Genomic DNA, 20,549 nt, shown 5'->3' with positions numbered 1-20,549 from the left:
GTTTTATGTTCTTTGAGGACGTTGTGAGGCAGAGAAGCAAGACAACCTTAGGCAAGAATCTGAGGTTTCCTAGCTTCCTTACCATAATATCTTCTACTAGTATCCCAATCCCAACATTGCTTCTGAAATCTGGACAATTATTTCATTCCTTAAACGTGTTACAATAAACTCCTATTATACTTGTTTCTTCTTTAAAATGCTTTTATGGTATCTACTTGAATATATATATTTAGACACAATGGAGTTTGAATTGACACACACACCTTTAGGCCAGTATGGTTAATGGAGACTATTGCTATTCATTGGTGTATGGGTAGAAACTCCAGGATTTATAATTATGGATATCTTGAGTTATAGTATTAGTATTAGTGTGTTCATCATGATGTTTGTGATAGGAGTTAGGAAGAGACCCTTTTGGTATATATTATCCACTTAAGGAAATTTTTCAACCTTTTCTTTCTTAAGGGTTCAAGGCTTCAGAGTTGACAACATGAATGATGTCACAGATTGTAGCACAAAACTGAGCACAGATTAATCATTCAAAAAAAATTGTTGGTGAATTACAGAGTTGAATGTTTTATCTTTTTAACACCTGGCACTAGTATAAGGAGGGTACCATAGTTTATAAAGTTTCATGTGTTTTTCCCTCAAGGAAATGAAAACAGGACCAAATATTTTGCCAAGAAATCTAGAGAATTTTATTCCAAGAACTTAATGACAATTTGTACCACAAAAATTCATGTTTACTAATGTTCAAACAAACATATTTCATTAATGAGACCCTGCACGGAATACAGAGCTTGGTTGAATATGAACGAAACAGTTGTTTAAGACTTTGGTCTTATACTCAATCCCAGAGGCTTTAGCAATAGCAATGTTTTATCAACGAAATATAGAAAGTCTGAAAAAAGCCCCTCAGAGTGACTTTAACAACATCCAGGCTGATCCATGTAACACACTTTAGTGTCAAGCTACAGTCATAAAAGAAAAATCTTAAGCAAACATCTAACAACAAGGCACTTATAAGCAAGTCAACATGCAAGGTAGATAATAAAAATATTCCTTCAGCAAGAAATGGCCTTGTTATGCAGTACTCAGAAAAATATAAATGCTGCAGGATTCCTTAAAGACAGAATGTCATTGTCTCCTTGGCATGCATGTGCCTGGGTTTATAATTTAGAGTTGTGATGTTTTTTCCAGAAGTATATGTTTGTGTGTACATGTAAATGTATATTTAAAAATTATAAGTTGAATCGAGCCCACATGATCTTTACTTGGGCTATACAGGATTAATCTGCCCAATAATTATTAAAAAAGAAGGAATTTCTAATTACCTGCCACAGTTCTAGAATTCAAAATTATACATGTATATTTTAAAAACAACAATATTTCAGGATACTTTTAGAAAAATATTGAGATCTGGCCACCCAGAACCTGCATTTCTCTTAAGATACCTTGATTTCATATTTCTAGCCTCCAGAAGCATGAGAGAATAAATTTCTATTGATTTAATCCACACAGTTTTATGTAGCACTTTGTTACAACACCCCTAGGAACCTGAAGCAGTCATAAAATCTTTTCTAAACTCAAAGGCTAGACAGATGCAAAATACACTGACTCCTATTCTAATGGCTTTCAATCTCATGTTAATCTGTTTACATATCTGTCTTCACACTTGGTACACTAGGCTGCTTACCTTTGAAACCATGTCAAAAAGTTGTGTACTTGAAAAATCTGGACTTGTCTTTTTTTTGCTATTATTATGCTTTAAGTTATAGGGTGCATGTGCAGAACATGCAGGTTTGTTACATAGGTATACATGTGTCATGTTGGTTTGCTGGACCTATCAACTTGTCATTTGCACTAGGCATTTCTCCCAATGCTATCCCTCCCCCAAACCCCCATCCCTCCACCCTCTGACAGGCCCCAGCGTATGATGTTCCCTGCCCTGTGTCCATGTGTTCTCATTGTTCAATTCCCACCTATGAGTGAGAACATGCCGTGTTTGGTTTTCTGTCCTTCTGATAGTTTGCTCAGAATGATGGTTTCCAGCTTCATCCATGTCCATGCAAAGGACGTGAACTCATCCTTTTTTTTGAGACAGAGTCTCGCTCTGTTGCCCAGGCTAGAGTGCAGTGGCATGATCTGGGCTCACTGCAAGCTCCACCTCCCAGGTTCATGCCATTCTCCTGCCTCAGCCTCCCGAGTAGCTGGGACTACAGGTGCCCACGACCACGCCTGACTACTTTTTGTATTTTTAGTAGAGACGGGGTTTCACCATGTTAGCCAGGATGGTCTTGGTCTCCTGACCTCGTGATCCTCCCACCTCAGCCTCCCATAGTGCTGGGATTACAGGCGTGAGCCACCATGCCCAGCCGAACTCATCCTTTCTTATGGCTGCATAGTATTCCATGGTGTATATGTGCCACATTTTCTTAATCTAGTCTATCATTGATGGACATTTGGGTTGGTTCCAAGTCTTTGCTATTGTGAATAGTGCTGCAATAAACATATGTGTGCATGTGTCTTTATAGTAGCATGATTTATAATCCTTTGGGTATATACCCAGTAATGGGATCTCTGGGTCAAATGGTATTTCTAGTTCTAGATCCTTGAGGAATTGCCACACTGTCTTCCACAATGGTTGAGCTAATTTACACTCCCTCCAACAGTATAAAAGCATTCGTATTTCTCCACATCCTCTCCAGCATCTGTTGTTTCCTGACTTTTTAATGATTGCCATTTTAACTGGTATGAGATGGTATCTCATTGTGGTTTTGATTTGCATTTCTCTGATGACCAGTGATGATGAGCAATTTTTCATGTGTCTGTTGGCTGCATAAATGTCTTTTTTTGAGAAGTGTCTGTTCATATCCTTTGCCCACTTTTTGATGGGGTTGTTTTTTTTCTTGTAAATTTGTTTAAATTCTTTGTATTTTCTGGATATTAGCCCTTTGTCAGATGAATAGACTGTAAAAATTTTCTCCCATTCTGTAGGTTGCCTGTTCGATAGTTTCTATTGCTGTGCAGAAGTTGTTTAGTTTAAATAGATCCCATTTGTCTATTTTGGCTTTTGTTGCCATTGCTTTTGGTGTTTTAGTCATGAAGTCTTTGCCCATGCCTATGTCCTGAAAGGTATTGCCTAGGTTTTCTTTCAGGGTTTTTCTGGTTTTAGGTCTAACATTTAAGTCTTTAATCCTTCCTAAGTTAATTTTTGTATAAGGTGTAAGGAAGGGATCCAGTTTCGGCTTTCTACATATGCCTAGCCAGTTTTCCCAGCACCATTTATTAAATAAGGAATCATTTCCCCATTTCTTGTTTTTGTCAGGTTTGTCAAAGATCAGATGGTTGTAGATGTGTGGTGTTATTTCTGAGGCCTCTTTTCTGTTCCATTGGTATATATATATATATATATATATATATATATATATATATATCCGTTTTGGTACAAGTGCCATGCTGTTTTGGTTACTATAGCCTTGTAGTATAGTTTGAAGTCATGTAGTGTGATGCCTCCAGCTTTGTTCTTTTTGCTTAGGATTGTCTTGACAATGCAGGCTCTTTTTTGGTTCCATATGAACTTTAAAGTAGTTTTTTCCAATTCTGTGAAGAAAGTCTTTGGTAGCTTGATGGGAATAACATTGAATCTATAAATTACTTTGGGCAGTATGGCCATTTTCACAATATTGATTATTCCTATCCATGAGCATGGAACATTCTTCCATTTGTTTCTGTCCTCTTTTATTTCGTTGAGCAGTGGTTTGTAGTTCTCCTTGAAGAGGTCCTTCATATCCCTTTTAAGTTGGATTCCTAGGTATTTTATTCTCTTTGTAGCATTTGTGAATGGGAGTTCACTCATGATTTGGCTCTCTGTTTGTCTGTTATTGGTGTATAGGAATGCTTGTGATTTTTGCACATTGATTTTGTATCCTGAGACTTTGGTGAAGTTGCTTATCAGCTTAAGAAGATTTTGGGCTGAGACTATGGGGTTTTGTAAACATACAATCAAGTTATCTGCAAATGGGGACAATTTGGCTTCCTCTTTTCCTAACTGAATATGCTTTATTTCTTTCTCTTGCCTGATTGCCCTGGCCAGAACTTCAAACACTATGTTGAATAGGAATGGTAAGAGAAGACATCCTTGTCATGTGCCAGTTTTCAAAGGGAATGCTTCCAGTTTTTGCCCATTCAGTATGATCTTGACTGTGTGTTTGTCATAAATAGCTCTTATTATTTTGAGATACATTCCATCAATTCCTAGTTTCTTGAGAGTTTTTACAATTAGGGGCTGTTGAGTTTGTGAAAGGCCTTTTCTGCGTCTATTGAGATAATCATGTGGTTTTTGTCATTGGTTCTGTTTATGTTATGGATTACAGTTATTGATTTGTGTATGTTGAACCAGCCTTGCATTCCAGGGATGAAACTGACTTGATCATGGTAGATAAGCTTTTTGATGTGCTGCTGGATTCAGTTTGTCAGTTTTATATTGAGGATTTTTGCATTGATGTTCATCAGGGATACTGGTCTAAAATTCTTTTTTTGTTGTTGTTGTGTCTCTGCCAGGCTTTGGTATCAGGATGATGCTGGCCTCATAAAATGAGTTAGGGAGGAATCCCTCTTTTTCTATTGATTGGAATAGTTTCAGAAGGAATGGTACCAGCTCGTCTTTGTACCTCTGGTAGAATTCAGCTGTGAATCCATTTGGTCCTGGACTTTTTTTGGTTGGAAGACTATTAATTATTGCCTCAATTTCAGAACCTGTTATTTGTCTATTCAAAGATTCAACTTCTTCCTGGTTTGGTCTTGGGAGGGTGTATGTGTCCAAGAATTTATCCATTTCTTCTAGATTTTCTAGTTTATATGTGTAGAGGTGTTTATAGTATTCTCTGATGGTGGTTTGTATTTCTGTGGAATCAGCGGTGATATCCCATTTATTATTTTTTATTGCATCTATTTGATTCTTCTCTCTTTTCTTCTTTATTAGTCTTGCTAGTGGTCCATCTATTTTGTTGATCTATTCAAAAAACCAGCTTCTGGATTCCTTGATTTTTTGAAAGGTTTTTGTGTCTCTATCTCCTTCAGTTCTGCTCTGATCTTAGTTATTTCTTGCCTTCTGCTAGCTTTTGAATTTGTTTGCTCTTCCTTCTCTAATTATTTTAATTGTGATGTTAGGGTGTCAATTTTAGTTCTTTTCTGCTTTCTCTTGTGGGCACTTAGTGCTATAAATTTCCCTCTACACACTGCTTTAAATGTGTCCCAGAGATTCTGGTATGTTGTGTCTTTGTTCTTATTGGTTTCAAAGAATATCTTTATTTCTGCCTTCGTTTCATTATGTGCTGAGTAGTCATTCAGAAGCAGGTTGTTCAGTTTCCATGTAGTTATGCAGTTTTGAGTGAGTTTCTTAATCCTGAGTTCTAATTTGATTGCACTGTGGTCTGAGAGACAGTTTGTTGTGGTTTCTTTTTTTTTTTTTTACGTTTGCTGAGGAGTGCTTTACTTTCAATTATGTGGTCAATTTTAGAATAAGTGTGATGTGGTGCTGAGAAGAATGTATATTCCATTGATTTGGGGTGGAGAGTTCTGTAGATGTCTATTAGGTCAGCTTGGTGCAGAGCTGAGTTCAAGTCCTGGATATCCTTGTTAACCTTCTGTCTCATTGATCTGTCTAATGTTGACAGTGGGGTGTTAAAGTCTCCCATTTTTATTGTGTAGAAGTCTAACTCTCTGTAGGTCTCTAAGGTCTGGCTTTATGAATCTGGGTGCTCCTGTATTGGGTGTATATATCTTTAGGATAGTTAGCTCTTCTTGTTGAATTGATCCCTTTACCATTATGTAATGGCCTTCTTTATCTCTTTTAATATTTGTTGGTTTAAAATCTGTTTTATCAGAGACTAGGATTGCAACCCCTGCTTTTTTTTCTTTCCATTTGCTTGGTAGATCTTCCTCCATCTCTTTATTTTAAGGCTATATGTGTCTCTGCACATGAGATGGGTCTCCTGAATACAGCACACTGATGGGTCTTGACTCTATCAAATTTCCCAGCCTGTGTCTTTTACTTGGGGCATTTAGCCCATTATATTTAAGGTTAATATTGTTATATGTGAATTTGATCCTGTCATTATGATGTTAGCTGGTTATTTTTCCTGTTAATTGATGCAGTTTCTTCATAGCATCAATGGTCTTTCCCATTTGGCATGTTTTTGCAGTAGCTGGTACTGGTTGTTCCTTTCCATGTTTAGTGCTTCCTTCAGGAGCTCTTGTAAGGCAGGCCTGGTGGTGACAAAATTTCTCAGCATTTGCTTGTTTGTAAAGGATTGTATTTCTCCTTCACTTATGATGCTTAGTTTGGCTGGGTATGAAATTCTGGGTTGAAAATTCTTTTCTTCAGGAATGTTGAATATTGGCCTCCACTCTCTTCTGACTTGTAGGGTTTCTGCCGAGAGATCTGCTGTTAGTCTGGTAGGCTTCCCTTTGTGTGTAACCCAACCTTTCTCTCTGACTGCCCTTAACATTTTTTTTCTTCATTCCAGCCTTGGTGAATCTGACAATTACATGTCTTGGAGTTGCTCTTCTCAAGGAGTATCTTTGTGGCGTTCTCTGTGTTTCCTGAATTTGAATGTTGGCCTGCCTTGCTACGTTGGGGAAGTTCTCCTGGATAATATCCTGAAGAGTGTTTTCTAACTTGGTTCCATTCTTCCCATCACTTTCAGGTACACCAATCAAATGTAGATTTGTTCTTTTCACATAGTCCCATATTTCTTGGAGGCTTTGTTCATTTCTTTTTATTCTTTTTTCTCTAATCTTGTCTTCTTGCTTTATTTCATTAATTTTATCTTCAATCACTGATACCCTTTCTTCCAGTCAATCAAATTGGCTATTGAAACTTGTGCATGCGTCATGAAGTTCTCGTGCTGTGGTTTTCAGCTCCATCAGGTCATTTAAGGTCTTCTCTACACTGTTTATTCTAGTTAGCCACTCGTCTAACCATTTTTCAAGGTTTTTAGCTTCCTCGTGATGGGTTAGAGCACGCTCCTTTAGCTTGGAGAAGTTTGTTATTACCGACCCTCTGAAGCCTACTTCTGTCAACTCGTCAAAGTCATTCTCCATCCAGTTTTTTTCTGTTGCTGGTGAGGAGCTGCAATCCTTTGGAGGAGAAAAGGTGCTCTGGTTTTTGGAATTTTCAGCTTTTCTGCTCTGGTTTCTCCCCATCTTTGTGGTTTTATCTACTTTTGGTCTTTGATGTTGGTGACCTACAGATGGGGTTTTGGTGTGGATGTCCTTTTTGTTGATGTTGATGCTATTCCTTTCTGTTTGTTAGTTTTCCCTCTAACAGATCCCTCAGCTGCAGGTCTGTTGGAGTTTGCTGGAGGTTCACTCCAGACCCTGTTTGCCTGGGTATCACCAGTGGAGGCTCAGTTGGAAATGCAGAAATCACCTGTCTTCTGTGTCAATCTCGCTGGAAGCTGCAGACTGGAGCTGTACCTATTTGGCCATCTTGGAAGTGACCAGGACTTTTCATTTAATATATGATCTTTGAAAACATGTCTAGTAATTTTATTATAATTGGTGCACTTTAAATGATATTGTTTTCATCTTATAAAGATGCATAACTAAGTCCTTGATAAATTTTGCTTTTGATTTTTAAGGAAACTTGTAAATTCGGAGTAACATTCACACCACTGACATTAAAGAAAAGTATCGACTAGCAATTTTCTTTGAAACTGGTTTCTTCAAACTTCAGTGGCAAAAACTGCTCAATGCTTCTCCAATAATCATTCTACATCTCTTTATTCATAGTACCATACATGTTGGCCATGCAGCAAAATTTTGACTAATGAAGTATAGTCAGTGGTCTGAACTTCTGGGAAATCTTAAAAGTGGGTCATCTAAACTGTGATACTCTAGAGTTTTGCCCTTTCCCTTCCTCCAGCCTGGAATGTGAACTAGATTGCTGGAATCCTAGCAGGCATCTTGTGACCATAAGATGACAGGGACCCCTTTGAAAGGATAATAAAATCCTGGGTTGCTCACTTTATATAAATTCTGAACTGGTTGTCTCTAGTTTCCTTATTATGAGAGAAAAAAATCTTTCTAAAAGCCATTGTTATTATAGATATGAGTTTGTTGCAGCCAAACTCAAAACCTTGGTAGATCCTCTCATCTAGCCTCAGGTTAATTTTATAAGCATAAGAATTAATACTGATTAAATTTTAACATGTGCCACACAATTTAGGTGCCACTAAATAGTCCTTAAAATGTAGGACTGTTATTATACACAGTTTGCAAAAAAAAAAAAAAGTTGAGACTCTAAAGAAGATATAATGACTGGTCTTATGTAAGATATTGGGCAAAGTATTTTATCTTTTCATGACTTGATTTCCTTAACCTGAAAAAGGAAAATAATAATGCTAAGCTACATTCTAGGATTTTGGTGCCGATTAAATAATCTGAGAACACTGTGAGGTAATGAGGGCTACATAAGTGTCAGCCATTATTGAAATTTTAATGGATACCTGCTCTGACTACATAACATTTTAAAGCCCATGTGATACAATGTTATCTTTTCAACATTTTTCATAAAAGTAAATATCCTAATTTATAATGAATATCTGACCTCTTCTGTCTTTTAGGGCAGAAGGACATAATCTCATTTTCTGAGGCAAAGATATAGAAACTGCCATTGCAATTAACCAAGTGCCTCTCAAATACTTCTAAGGAGAACAAAGTAGACATTATAGTCTCTATTTGTTGTAAAACAAGGAACATATAGTTCTATGATTTGTCTAAGTGCTAATAATAAGGGATAAATATAATTCTCAAACTAAGGTCTTTTAATTCTGAGTTCAGTGATTTATCCCACAACACCACAGCTGCCTCAGCTTCTGTACATTAAACATGAGTGTGTGTGGATGTATGTGTGTAACTTAAAGAGACCATACTTTGGAATTGTATCCCTATTGTTCCAATTTTTAAGGCAGCCAGTATTTAAATCGCCTCAATTAAAATGTCTACAGCCATAAAATTGTTTTACGTTTTGAATTTACGTTGGTAATATCTTCATACCTCTTTTTGCAATCATAATTCCAAGTAATGTTACAATGTTTGAACGTCTTGAATCATCTTGCCATTTTAAATTTCTACTTTTAACTTATTTGTCATATAGCGTATACATAAGAAATCTCTTGTTACCTGTAGAACATGTCACACGATAATATGTTTACACTTTTCCTTCTACTTTTCTTTTCTAGTCAAGCTATGTTGCTTGTATGAGAAATACCAGCTTTTTGTTTAGAAAAGTAGGATTTTACAATTTATCAAGAAAGAACACAGGCATTGGCTATGGTCTGACCAGCATGTATTGGTGCTGGTATCACAGATAAGACACAACACAGAAAAGAATAACCTCTCACCCATAACCTCTGCATTCCCCAAAGGACCATGTGTCTGGGGGAAGACCAAGGAGCAACTTAAATTTCAATGTCAATATAACCTTGCGAGCTCTCTGAAATTTCACTGACAACTAGCTTTCCATTTGTAATTGGAGTGAGGTGTAGCTGTCATGCTCTGCAGGCAGGATCCATGGAGAATTGCTGTTCAAATTGGAAAGGAGTTTCCTCTCATTAAAACCAAAAGAAATCGAGTGTAAATAGCATGGCTGTTAAGAACAACCACATGGTATTGGCTCTTCTAATCCCGAGAGCTATTCTCTAATTCCAAGAGGGACAGTGGATGGAACTGGAAGAATAGCTTTTTTCTTAGGCTATTAATATCCAACTCATGGGGGTCCCTAAAGATACAATGCTCAAAACAGAGATCTTAATGATGAGACAACAGTGTACTAGAATGAGAAAACAATTTGGATTAAGATAATATGGGAAATAAATCAGAAGTCACCTCTCCTTTACAATAATTCTTCATCCTTTCCATATTTTTCTATAAATACAACTATTAATGGAGAACCTTTCATGTTCTTGTCACTTTATAACAATTATTACATTTTAATCACAACCAGAGTAGGTCAGAAACATGTTAAAATATTTAACATCTTAGGCTTTAGAAACAAACTTCTGAGGTTCAAATATCTGTGAGATCTTGGCAACTGTTTACTTATCCACCTTACTCTTCATTTTCCTCCTTAGCAAAGTTTTCTTACCAACAAAAATGGCAGTATTTTCCTTAAAAGCTTATACAAAACAATTCCCATAAATACAGGATAGTGTCTGGCATAGATTAATCACTCAAGTGCTGTTACTGTTGGGATCTATTTTACAGATGAGGAAACTGTATGAACACTCTCCTAAGATAAGACAGTAGTTGTGATACACAAGGATTTGAACATAGCCAATCCTACTCAGGTATTTTAAATTCTGTTTTAAATTTTCATAGGATTATTGTGAAAATTAATAGATGCAAGGTACACTCTAAGTGCTCTCTAGAGTGTACTTTCATTATTTTTCTAGTTGATTTGAGATAGAGTCCCTCTTCTAAGTTAAAATACATTTTCACCTCAAAGCTTTGTATGTCTTTATATTTGCCTCAGTTGCACTAGTAATAGGATGCCAAATCCAACCTTTTCTGTGGTTTTAGCAGACACAAGGTCAATAAAACGGTAAGTACCAAGTCCTTCCATATTCAACAGTGATGTGATATAACATCCATTAAGAACTTGTAAAGGAGATGGGTCAAAAGTAGATCTACCAGTATTAGGCATTTATACATTTCCAGTGTATATGACAATGAAAAGGTGCAATTTATTTATTAGCTCAACACCAGAAAAGATTTGGGACTGCTCACATATTTCAATGGTGAGGACAAAAGTAACTAGCCTACAGTACCAATGCGTAGGAACAATGAGAGAAAGAATGAAGTTGTTTTCAGCTAAAATTATTTTGGAGTTAACCTGCATGAGAAATCAGTAACATATTAGTGGATATATGTCTTATATTCATTGTCTGCACTATATTATAAGTTTTCTGGGTGCAAGAACATGCGTTCTTTGCTTATGGGTCCTTACAGTTTATACCAGAGTTTGTGATCCACCAATATTGTCGGTAGATTGAAGATGCAATTACTTAGAGTTGTTCAGACAACGTCATTAAACTCAATGATTTTGACGACCATTGATGAAAAAGCAGGACTTTGATACGGATTATATACTACCATGTACATATCATGATTTCTGTTTCAGCAACTCTTTGGACCAACTGTGTACACTCACAAACAACTCCCATTGATTTGCAAGTGTGTGCACAAGACTGAGGGCAGAGTGTTGCCTTCAAGGTCATTAACTCAATGTTATGTATTCCATGCATTTCATCCTTAGATAGTCATTCTATCATCTAATTATGTAAGCTTGGAGAAAAATTAAATTGATGGGTGATTATATCATAATTGCCTTTCAGATAGTTAGAAGTAAATTGACATTGATAACTTCAATATTACATAATGGGACAAACTGAACTCTGCAGAGAAAGGCATATCTGAAAGCTTGTGGCTTCACAGCAGTACAACTAACATAGTAAAAAAAAAAAAAAATCAATATAGGCCAGGTGCGGTGGCTCATGTCTGTAATCCCAGCACTTTGGGAGGCTGAGGTGGGCAGATTGCTTGAGCCCAGAAGTTTGTGACCAGCTTGGCTATCATGGCGAAACCCCGTCTATACTAAAAATACGAAAAAAAAAAAAACATTAGCCAGGCCTGGTGGCGCATGCTTGTAGTCTCAGCTACTTGGGAGGCTGAGGCATGAGAATCACTTGAACTGGGGAGGCAGAAATTGTAGTGAGCCGAGATGGCACCAGTGCACTCCAGCCTGGGCAACAGAGCAAGACTCTATCTCAAAAAAAAAAAAAAAATACAGTAGTTGTACCTTTACAAATGAGCCAATGTTTAAAATGTGAAAAATTTCACATAAAATTGAAATATTCAGCTTCTATTGAAAAATTATTATACCTGGGAACACTGGATGTGTATCTTACATAGACACTATTTTCTTTAGCCTGGGAACATCTGAGTACTTTAGACTAAGATTTGTACCCTTCAGACTGGAACAGTTTACTCCAGTCACAACCCCTCATACAATATATGGATAAACACTTACACATAGCCTGTGTCACCCAGGTACCTTTCCTCCTCAGGCACTTTACAACTTTTTTCCTACAGCATTGATCTTGAGTACATGAATTGATGTGTGGAAACAAATTTCACTTGTTCTTTCTGGTCTCAAAGTGTATATTAGGGTAGGATGAATTATTAATGTCAGGTGTACTGCTTCTCATAACCAACTGCTTCTCATAACCAGACTCACTGCAAACATCACTACTTATGGCACTTATTCTTAAAGTTCAAATGTGGCTGCAGAATCTTTCTTAATCTGAGTAATCCAGGACATCTAAGTAAATGCTCAGAGTTGGCATATGAGGTATATTAGTTATTTATTGGTGTGTAACCATATTATTAATACCACAAACTTAGTGACTTATGGCAACACATATATTATCACACAGCTTCTGTGGCTCAGGAGCCTGAACACAACTCAGCTGTATCTTCTTCAGGCTCTCACAAGGCTTCAATCCAGATGTTGGCTGGGGCTGGATTCTCAGCAGAGGTTCCACTGGTGAAAAATTTGCTTCCAAGGTCATGTAGTTGTTGGCAGCAATCTGTTTCTTATGGATTGTTGGACTGAGGTCCTCAACTTCTTGATGATGATTGAAGGCCAGTTCTCAGTTCTCTGCCATGTGGGGCCTCCAATGTGGTGATATGAACAGGATACAGGAAAATACTGGGTGGAAGAGCGAGGTTCCCTGGCAAAGGCCCCACCCTCAAGCCTGGAAACCTGCTGCACTAAATGGAAACAGGCATTCCTGTTTTCATGCCCGAAAGTTGCCTTTTGGTGCACTCTGCCCCTCTATTCTGTACCCATATAAATACCAGACCCCAGGTTCCAGAAGCAAACAAGGAGATGAAGAGAAGAGCAGAAGAAAGGCAGAACAGTGTGGCAGAGAAGGAGAGAAGAGAAGGAGCATTTGAACGCCAAGAGGAATTTGGCTGGGGATAGTTAGAGAGGTGATTGGCCACTGGACGGCTGAACTCCAGGGGAAGATCATCTTCCCACTCCATCCTCTTCCCAGCTCCCCATCCATCCTGCTGAGAGCCAGCTTTACCATGAAATAAAACCCATGCATTCATCATCCTCAAGTCCATGTGGAACCTAATTCTTCCTGGATGTCAGAGAAGGACCTGGGTACCAAGAGGGCACTGGGCTGGTTAACACTTAAGTCACCTGTGGACAGCAAGGCTAAAATTGCAAACTGTGAAACATGCCCACTTGGGCTTTGGGAGTTGCAGCTTCCCAGCCCTGGAAGCTGCCATGGGATCAGAGCCCAGGGGCACTTGCCCCAGCTCCTGCACCTGCCTGTCTTCATGTGTCCCCTCTCATAAGAAGTTTGAGCAGGCATGGGGGCCATACAGATGAGCCACATCCCTGTCACACATCCAGAGAGGAGCATCAGGGAAATTTCCTGTTTCATTGGCAGCTTCTTTACTCAAAGGCAGCAAAGGAAAGAGACTCTCCATGCAAGATGTGGTACCAATCTTATGTAATGTAATAACATACACATAATAACATGTATTTGTCACTTTTGCCATATTCTATTGGTTAGAAGCAAGTCATAGGTCACAACATGCCTAAAGGAAGGGGATTACAAGGGAGTAAATACCAGAAAGGAGGGATTATAGGAACCACCTTAAAGTCTATTGACCACATGAGGTGAAACTACTTACCATGCCTGACAAAGGCTCATCAGTATTAGTTATATGGAGGAGAATTTTGATTTTGCTTAAGAAAAATACATTTAACAATTAGAGCAACTTGTGATGTAAGTATGATGGCAGGGACAGTTCATATAGAAGTTTGTAGCAGGAGATGGAAACATTTAATGTAATGGAGTGGGGTTAAAATTTGGCTACTGGAAATTTCCTTAAAGGCCTAAAATTCTGTGATACTTCATTACCTTATAAAAAGTCATAATATTGTGTGTTTTACATGGAAAGAGAAGAGAATGTTTGGTAAGTGCCTTAGTCCATTTGTGCTTCTATAACAAAGTACCTGAGAATGGGTAACTTATAAAGAATAGAAGTTTCTTTCTCCCAGTTCTTCAGGCTGGGCAATTCAGGATCAAGTTGCCAGTAGATTTGGTGTCTGCTGATGGCTGTTTTCTGCTTCCAGAATGGAATCTTGTCACTGTCTCGTGCAGGAGGGATGAACATTGTGTCTTCACATGGCAGAAAGTAAAACAGCAAAAAGGGCCTAGCTAGTTTCCTCCAGCCATTTTATAACATTGCTAATCCTATCCAGGAGGGCTCCACCTTTGTGACTTAATCATCACATAAAGGTCCCACCTTTTAATACTATTACATTGGGGTTTAAGTTTCAACATGATTTTTGAAGAGGACACAAACATTCAAACTATAGCAGTAGATATTTCAAATTCATAGTTTTGGGTTCATTACAAAAACTGCATAATTGCATTTGATAAAATATGCATAATTATAATTATAGAATTGTAAGAATATAAAAATAGAAAATATTTCCCAAAAGTATTGATATGGACAGGAGACAGGGAAATACTGGGTAGAAGATGGATGTTCTTTGGCAAAGGCCCCATCTTCAAGCCTGGATACCTGTGGCCCTAAATGAAGACAGACATTCCTGTTTTCATGCTCCAAAAGTTGTTTTTTGGCTCCCCATTTGGGGTTCGTACCCATATAAACCTCAAAACCCAGGATCCAGAGGCAGATGAGCAGAGAAGGAGATGAGGAAATGAGGAGATGAGGAGACAACAAGACAAACAGCAGAACAGCATGGCAGAGAAAGAAGAGAAGGAACATCTGAACACCAAGAGGAGTTCAGCTGGGGGGAGGTTGGAGAGGAGTTTGGCCACTGGACAGATGAACTCCAGGGAAAGATCACCTTCCCACTCCATCCCCCTTCCAGCTCCTCATCCATCCCACTGAGAGCCACCTCCACCACTCAATAAAACCCCTGCATCCATCCTTCAAGTCTATATATGACCTGATTCTTCTAGGACACTGGACAAGAGCTCAGGACACAGAAAGCTATCACATTGGCCCACTGCCCTTGCAGAAAGGCAGAGGAGTCATTGAGCTGGTTAACACTTCAGCCATCTGAGGATGGCAGAGCTAAAAGGGCTTTGTAACACTGGGGTCACAGGCACTCACCTCTAGGCACTACCATGGAGCCAGAGCCCAAAGCACTCACCAGCTTCTGCACCTGCTCGTCAGCATGCTCCCCCTCCCATAAGGGGTTTGAGCTCACTGCAGCTGAACAGAGAGCCGTATCTCTGTCACACACCCTGAGAGGCAAGCTGGGGAACTCTCCTGTTTCAGTATTTATTGAGTATCTACTGAATGTTTGAGGCTGTTCTTTCAGTGGAGGATACAGAAATAGCTGATGACATATTTTCTTGACTTTACAGAGTTTACAATTGATGCTAGAGAAATGGGGTTCAGAATAATGGTAAAATAGGGTAAAATAAAATATTAAATCAAATGTCACACTGTAATAGATACACAGTAGTCTGTCTCAGTCTTTTTCTTTCTTTCTGACTGGAAAAGTAAAAAATGTGTAGAAATGAAACTCCAACATTATAAATATTTTCACTACTGTTGATACTTTAAATAGGGAGTTGCTGAAATAGTTGGGAGAGATGTTTTTAAAGCTACACTTGAGAAAGAGAGCATTTCATTGTGTCTTGGAGAATAGTAGAAAAAGACAAAGGTGTTTTTTATTTCCATTAGCCATTTTATTTTTGTTAGAAGCCATGTAACTTTTGAGATTCACACACAGAAACAAAAAGATATTAAATGATTCTCACACTATAAAACATTGTAACCATTATGCATTTTGATTGCAGGTAAAAAGTCAATTAACCACTGGTGGGCAATATCCAAAATTGATAGCAGAAACAGAAAAATAAAAGACTACTCAGCAAAGACAAGTAGAGTGTAAGCATCACATAGGCTGGAAACTTTGTTTGCTGTTTTCTGTTTGTTTGTGTCCGTTCTCTTCTGTATCCCAAGCATCTGGAATGAGGACTGGCACATAGCTATTGTTCAATAAATGCTTGTTGATAAATAAAAATGCTGGAATTATTTGACTTCTCTTTATCAACTGTAGGCAACACCAAACTTGTATGCAGGAAAGAAAGATATAGGATTAATGAAATGAAGAATTTGGGGATGGTTTACTCTAACAGTATTATCTTGACTCTCATTTAGGATCTATATTTGCATTGAAAGATGCAGGAAATATGATTTGCTCCTGCACAGAATGTACTTAAATCTGTGTTTCTGAGTCTGTTATTAAATGTGGCACTTATCTTAATGAGCACATGCCACCTTTCTCTCTAGGCAGAGCCTCTTAACACAACTGAAATAGCCCAGCAATTGCACAGAGGAAACTGCAGAGTCCTGTCATATCCCATGATACAATTAATCTCTGTGATTAGGTGAATTTAAACAAAAAGGTATGTGTTTATCTTCATGATGCACAGAGTGGCAGTGGCAGGTGGCTCCATTTCCCAGAATATGGTTCCAATCCAGGATGTCATTTGGAGAGACATCAGTTACCACAAAGAAGTTACGTCTTGTGTGAAACTGAAGAAGGTGAAGTTCATCGTAGGGGTTCCCTCGCACTTCTCTTTGGAACACCTTAAATCCTAGGCACCCGCCTTTGTCTCAGAATTCAGCTGGTGTCTGATGTGGAATAATTTGTGCCCCCTGCCCAGAAAGATATGTTGAAGTCCTAACCCTGGTATCTGTGAATATGACCTTATTTGGAAGTAGGATATTTGCAGATGTAATCAAGCTAAAAATGAGTCATCCTACATCTAATTAATGGTGTCCTTATAAACAGACTGAGATTTGAAAACCCAGATGACAGAGGGAAATAGGTCACTTGATGACCAAGGCGGAGATTGCAGTGATTCAACTGCAAGCCAAAAAATGCCAAGGATTACTGGCAACAAGCAAAAGCTAGGAAGGCACAAGGAAAGATATTTTCCTACAATCCTCAGAGGGAGCATGTGTCTGTAGATGCCCTGATTTTGGACATCTGGCCTCCAGAGTTGTGAGGCAATTAATTTTTCTTAAGGCCACCTAGTTTGTGGTAATTTGATATGGCAGCACTAGGACATTTATATGATGCCTCAGGTGGAAAAAATAGGCCCTATAGTTAGAAGTTTCCTTGACTAATCTTGCTCACTTCGGTGCCTCATTTCTACTTTCTTTCAGGGAGCATGAGCTCTGACTTGGGGAAGGAGTATTCTAAGCTTCCTTTCAGAGCCAGTAATTTTCTTCCAGTTAAAAATCATTTAAGCTAAACTAACCCTTTTTGTTCATTCAGGCTGTGTGACAAAAATATCATAGACTGCGTGACTGAAAAAACAAACATTTATTTCTCACAGTTCTGGAGGCTGGGATGTCCAAGGTCAAGATGCTGACAGATTGATTGTCCCTGGAAAGCCTGCTTCATAGATGACCATCTTCTCCGTGTGTTCTCCCTGTGTTCTCAGGAGTGGGGTTACCTTTCTGGTGCCTCTTTTTCATAAGGACACTATTCCCGTTCCTGAGGGCTCCATTCTCATAACACAACATCCAGAAGGTCCTACATTCTAATATCATCATACTGCAGGTTAGAATTTCAGCATGTTAATTTTGGTATGACACATTCAGTCTATAGTAGCAACCCTCCCTTGAAACTCAATGCTCTGTGATGAGGTTCAGCGAAACCTAAAAGTATATCATATAAAGCTGAAAAGAAAATAAATTGGGACAACTGTTTTTGGAGGGGAAGCAATTTAGCATAATGTGCTAATATGTAAGTATTTAAAAACATTTTCATTTTTAGAAAATATTGCTAAAGGAATTACGAAATATGTACACAAAAACTTAGCTACATGGGTGTTAAGCACAATATTGTTTGCAATAGGGAAAGGTTTAAAAATGGAAATATCTATGAATATCAGATTATTAAATAAATTATGTTTTTCCCATATGAGGATATACTACATAGGTATTTAAAAATGAAGCTGTGGAATAGTCATTTTATTTGATTAAGTTTTAGTTGTATTTTATTTATAATTCACACATAATAATTATACATATTTAAGGAATACAGTGTGATGTTTCCATGCATGTATACATTATATAACAATTAAATCAGGGTAATTAGCATACTTTAAACATTTATCATGTTGTTGTGATAACATTCAAAATTCTACCAGCTATTTTGAAATATACAATATATTGTTATTAGCTATAGTTACCCTGCAATGGAATAAAGTATGAATAGTCATTTTAAAACTATGCTCTGAAGAGGATGCAGGTATCTCAGGAACATTTCAGTGAGTTTTTTAGGAGGTGAGTCGAAGCCAGGATCCTCTGAGCTTTGCCCCATTACCTTCACTTAACCAGATCTGCTCTATTTTATCTCTTTGATATGCTGAGTTTCTGAGTAAAATGCCTTTTGAAAAAAAAATTGTTATGTGTTGATTTCTGTCCCCACAAAAGTTGTTGAGGTCCTAACACCCAGGGCCTGTGAATGTGACATGATTTGGAAATAGAGGCTTGCAGGTGATCAAGTTAATCATTATAGTGGGCTCTAATCCAATACAACTATGTTTTTTAAAAAATGAGAATTTTGGAAACAGAAGCAAACACACAGGTAGACGACCATGTGAAGATAGAGGCAGAGTTCAGGGTAATGCATCATAAGTCACAGAAAACCAAAGATTGCCAGCAAACCAGCAGAATCTGGGAGAAAATAGTATAAAGCAGACTTTTCTCATAGCCTCAAGAAAGAACCAACTTTACCAACACCTTGGTTTTAGACTTCCAGCCTCCAGAGCTGTGAAAGAACACATTTCTGTTGTGTAAGCCACCTTCGTTAAGGTTGTGGTACTTTGTTGCAGTAGCAGTTAGAAAGTAGTGCATTTCTGGGCTGAAAGAAAGTTTGATGCTCCTTTGTTACAAAGAGATATACATAGTAAATATATACACAAATTATTTGTGAACTCTTAAGTCAATGAATTTTTCCTCTTAATATTTTCTTTCTCTTGGTTTTCTCACTGTTAGTCCACCTATTGAATAAATTGTGTTCATTGTTTCAGGAGGAGCTATGGTAATGGTAAAATAATAGGGTTGTTCTTGAGCTCTGAGTTTGAAATCAGTATTTTCTAGTCCATAGCTGAGGTCAGAATGTAAACCTTCCACAAATCATTTATCATCCCACTCCATCAAAACTCGGTGAATACGAACAGACTCATATGGATTAGGGGAAATTCCAGAACAAGAAGTTCCCCTTTACCCTAAGTGCAGATTAGAAGGACTCAATTGTCTCTAGAAGCTTGTTGGGCAGGGAGCATAAGGTTCAACCTGGGGTTATAGGTGAGTAGTCAAGCCACATCATCAGATCATAAGACATGAGAATCCTGGCTGCTCTAGGTTAATTGCTTTATTTTTTTTTTCAGACAGAGTTTTGCTCTTGTTGCCTAGGCTGGAGTGCAATGGCACCATCTTGGCTCATGGCAACCTCTGCCTCCAAGGTTCAAGCGATTCTCCTGCCTCAGCCTCCCGAGTAGCTAGGATTACAGGTGTGCATCACCACACCTGGCGAATTTTGTATTGTTAGTAGAGATGGGGTTTTGCCATGTTGGTCAGGCTGGTCTCGAACTATGGACCTCAGGTTATCTGCCCGCCTCAGCCTCCCAAAGTGCTGGGATTACAGGCATCACCCACCACGCCCAGCCAGCTTTATCTCTTGAAGCCTGTAAAGCTCTGTCTTCTGTGGCATTTAAGTTGTTTGTGAGCATTGTTGGGTATGGTAGCATGTATTACTCACCAACAAATATTCCCTCCCCCTTACCCTCAGCTGTGAGAAGCATGGATTTCCTGCCTCATCTATTGTGATTTTTGCCATTGAAAGTAATGGCAAAATTATTTTAATAGCCATTACTTTCGATGGCAAAAACCATGATTACTTTTGAACCAGCCTAATACATTGGGCTCGACCATGTGATTTGCCACAGGCAATTAAATATGCTGAGACATGAGGGCACATTTGAGCAAAAACTTTAAATATATGTAAACTCTTGTTCTTCTGCCCTCTGCCATGAGAAGAATATGTCTCAAGTAACCATTCCTCTTTCAGCTTGGGTCCTCATATGAGAGATGTATGGAGAAAATACCTAAATCTATCTTATAACCTGGAGCAGAGCCACCACAGCTTCAGATATGTAACAATTATGGTGTTTACTCTCTTGAATAATTTTATTTTGCTTATTCAGAAACCTCAGCAAATAAAAATCTTTTTGGAAAACTTCTCTTGACAATTGTGTGAAATTTTACAGCTATGCACATGGCAACCCTCTGATCATCCTGTGTTTCAAGGATAATTTTTTGATTTCACTATGCAAGCCACAGTTTCTCTGCCTATAAGGAATTTAGCAAACTATGATCATAAATCCAGGGGC

The 20,549-nt window shown here is 38.2% G+C and overlaps 1 long non-coding RNA gene across 1 annotated transcript in view, besides 1 other annotated feature; it reads left to right on the top strand.

The window, feature by feature from the left end:
• The window catches only part of LINC02741 (long intergenic non-protein coding RNA 2741), a 125,191-nt gene extending 107,408 nt beyond the window's left edge, over positions 1 to 17,783 (top strand). The window contains exons 3-4 of the long non-coding RNA XR_001748196.2: positions 15,933 to 16,023; positions 17,484 to 17,783. This is a non-coding gene — a long non-coding RNA (long intergenic non-protein coding RNA 2741). The remainder of the gene's footprint in view (positions 1 to 15,932; positions 16,024 to 17,483) is intronic.
• Positions 5,346 to 5,491: a silencer, noted in NCBI's record as "fragment chr11:41623188-41623333 (GRCh37/hg19 assembly coordinates)". NCBI's record gives its function as "represses an EF-1alpha promoter that drives an FKBP-Casp9 reporter gene in an ReSE screen in K562 erythroleukemia cells {active_cell/tissue: K562}" and the evidence as "EXISTENCE:reporter gene assay evidence [ECO:0000049][PMID:32094911]".
• Positions 17,784 to 20,549: the final 2,766 nt, after the last annotated feature.

Source organism: Homo sapiens, chromosome 11 (genome assembly GCF_000001405.40).
Source record: "Homo sapiens chromosome 11, GRCh38.p14 Primary Assembly".
NCBI classification, from domain to species: Eukaryota; Metazoa; Chordata; class Mammalia; order Primates; family Hominidae; genus Homo; species Homo sapiens.
Note: the sequence above shows the minus strand (reverse complement) of the source record. Positions and strands in the feature narration are given on the sequence as shown.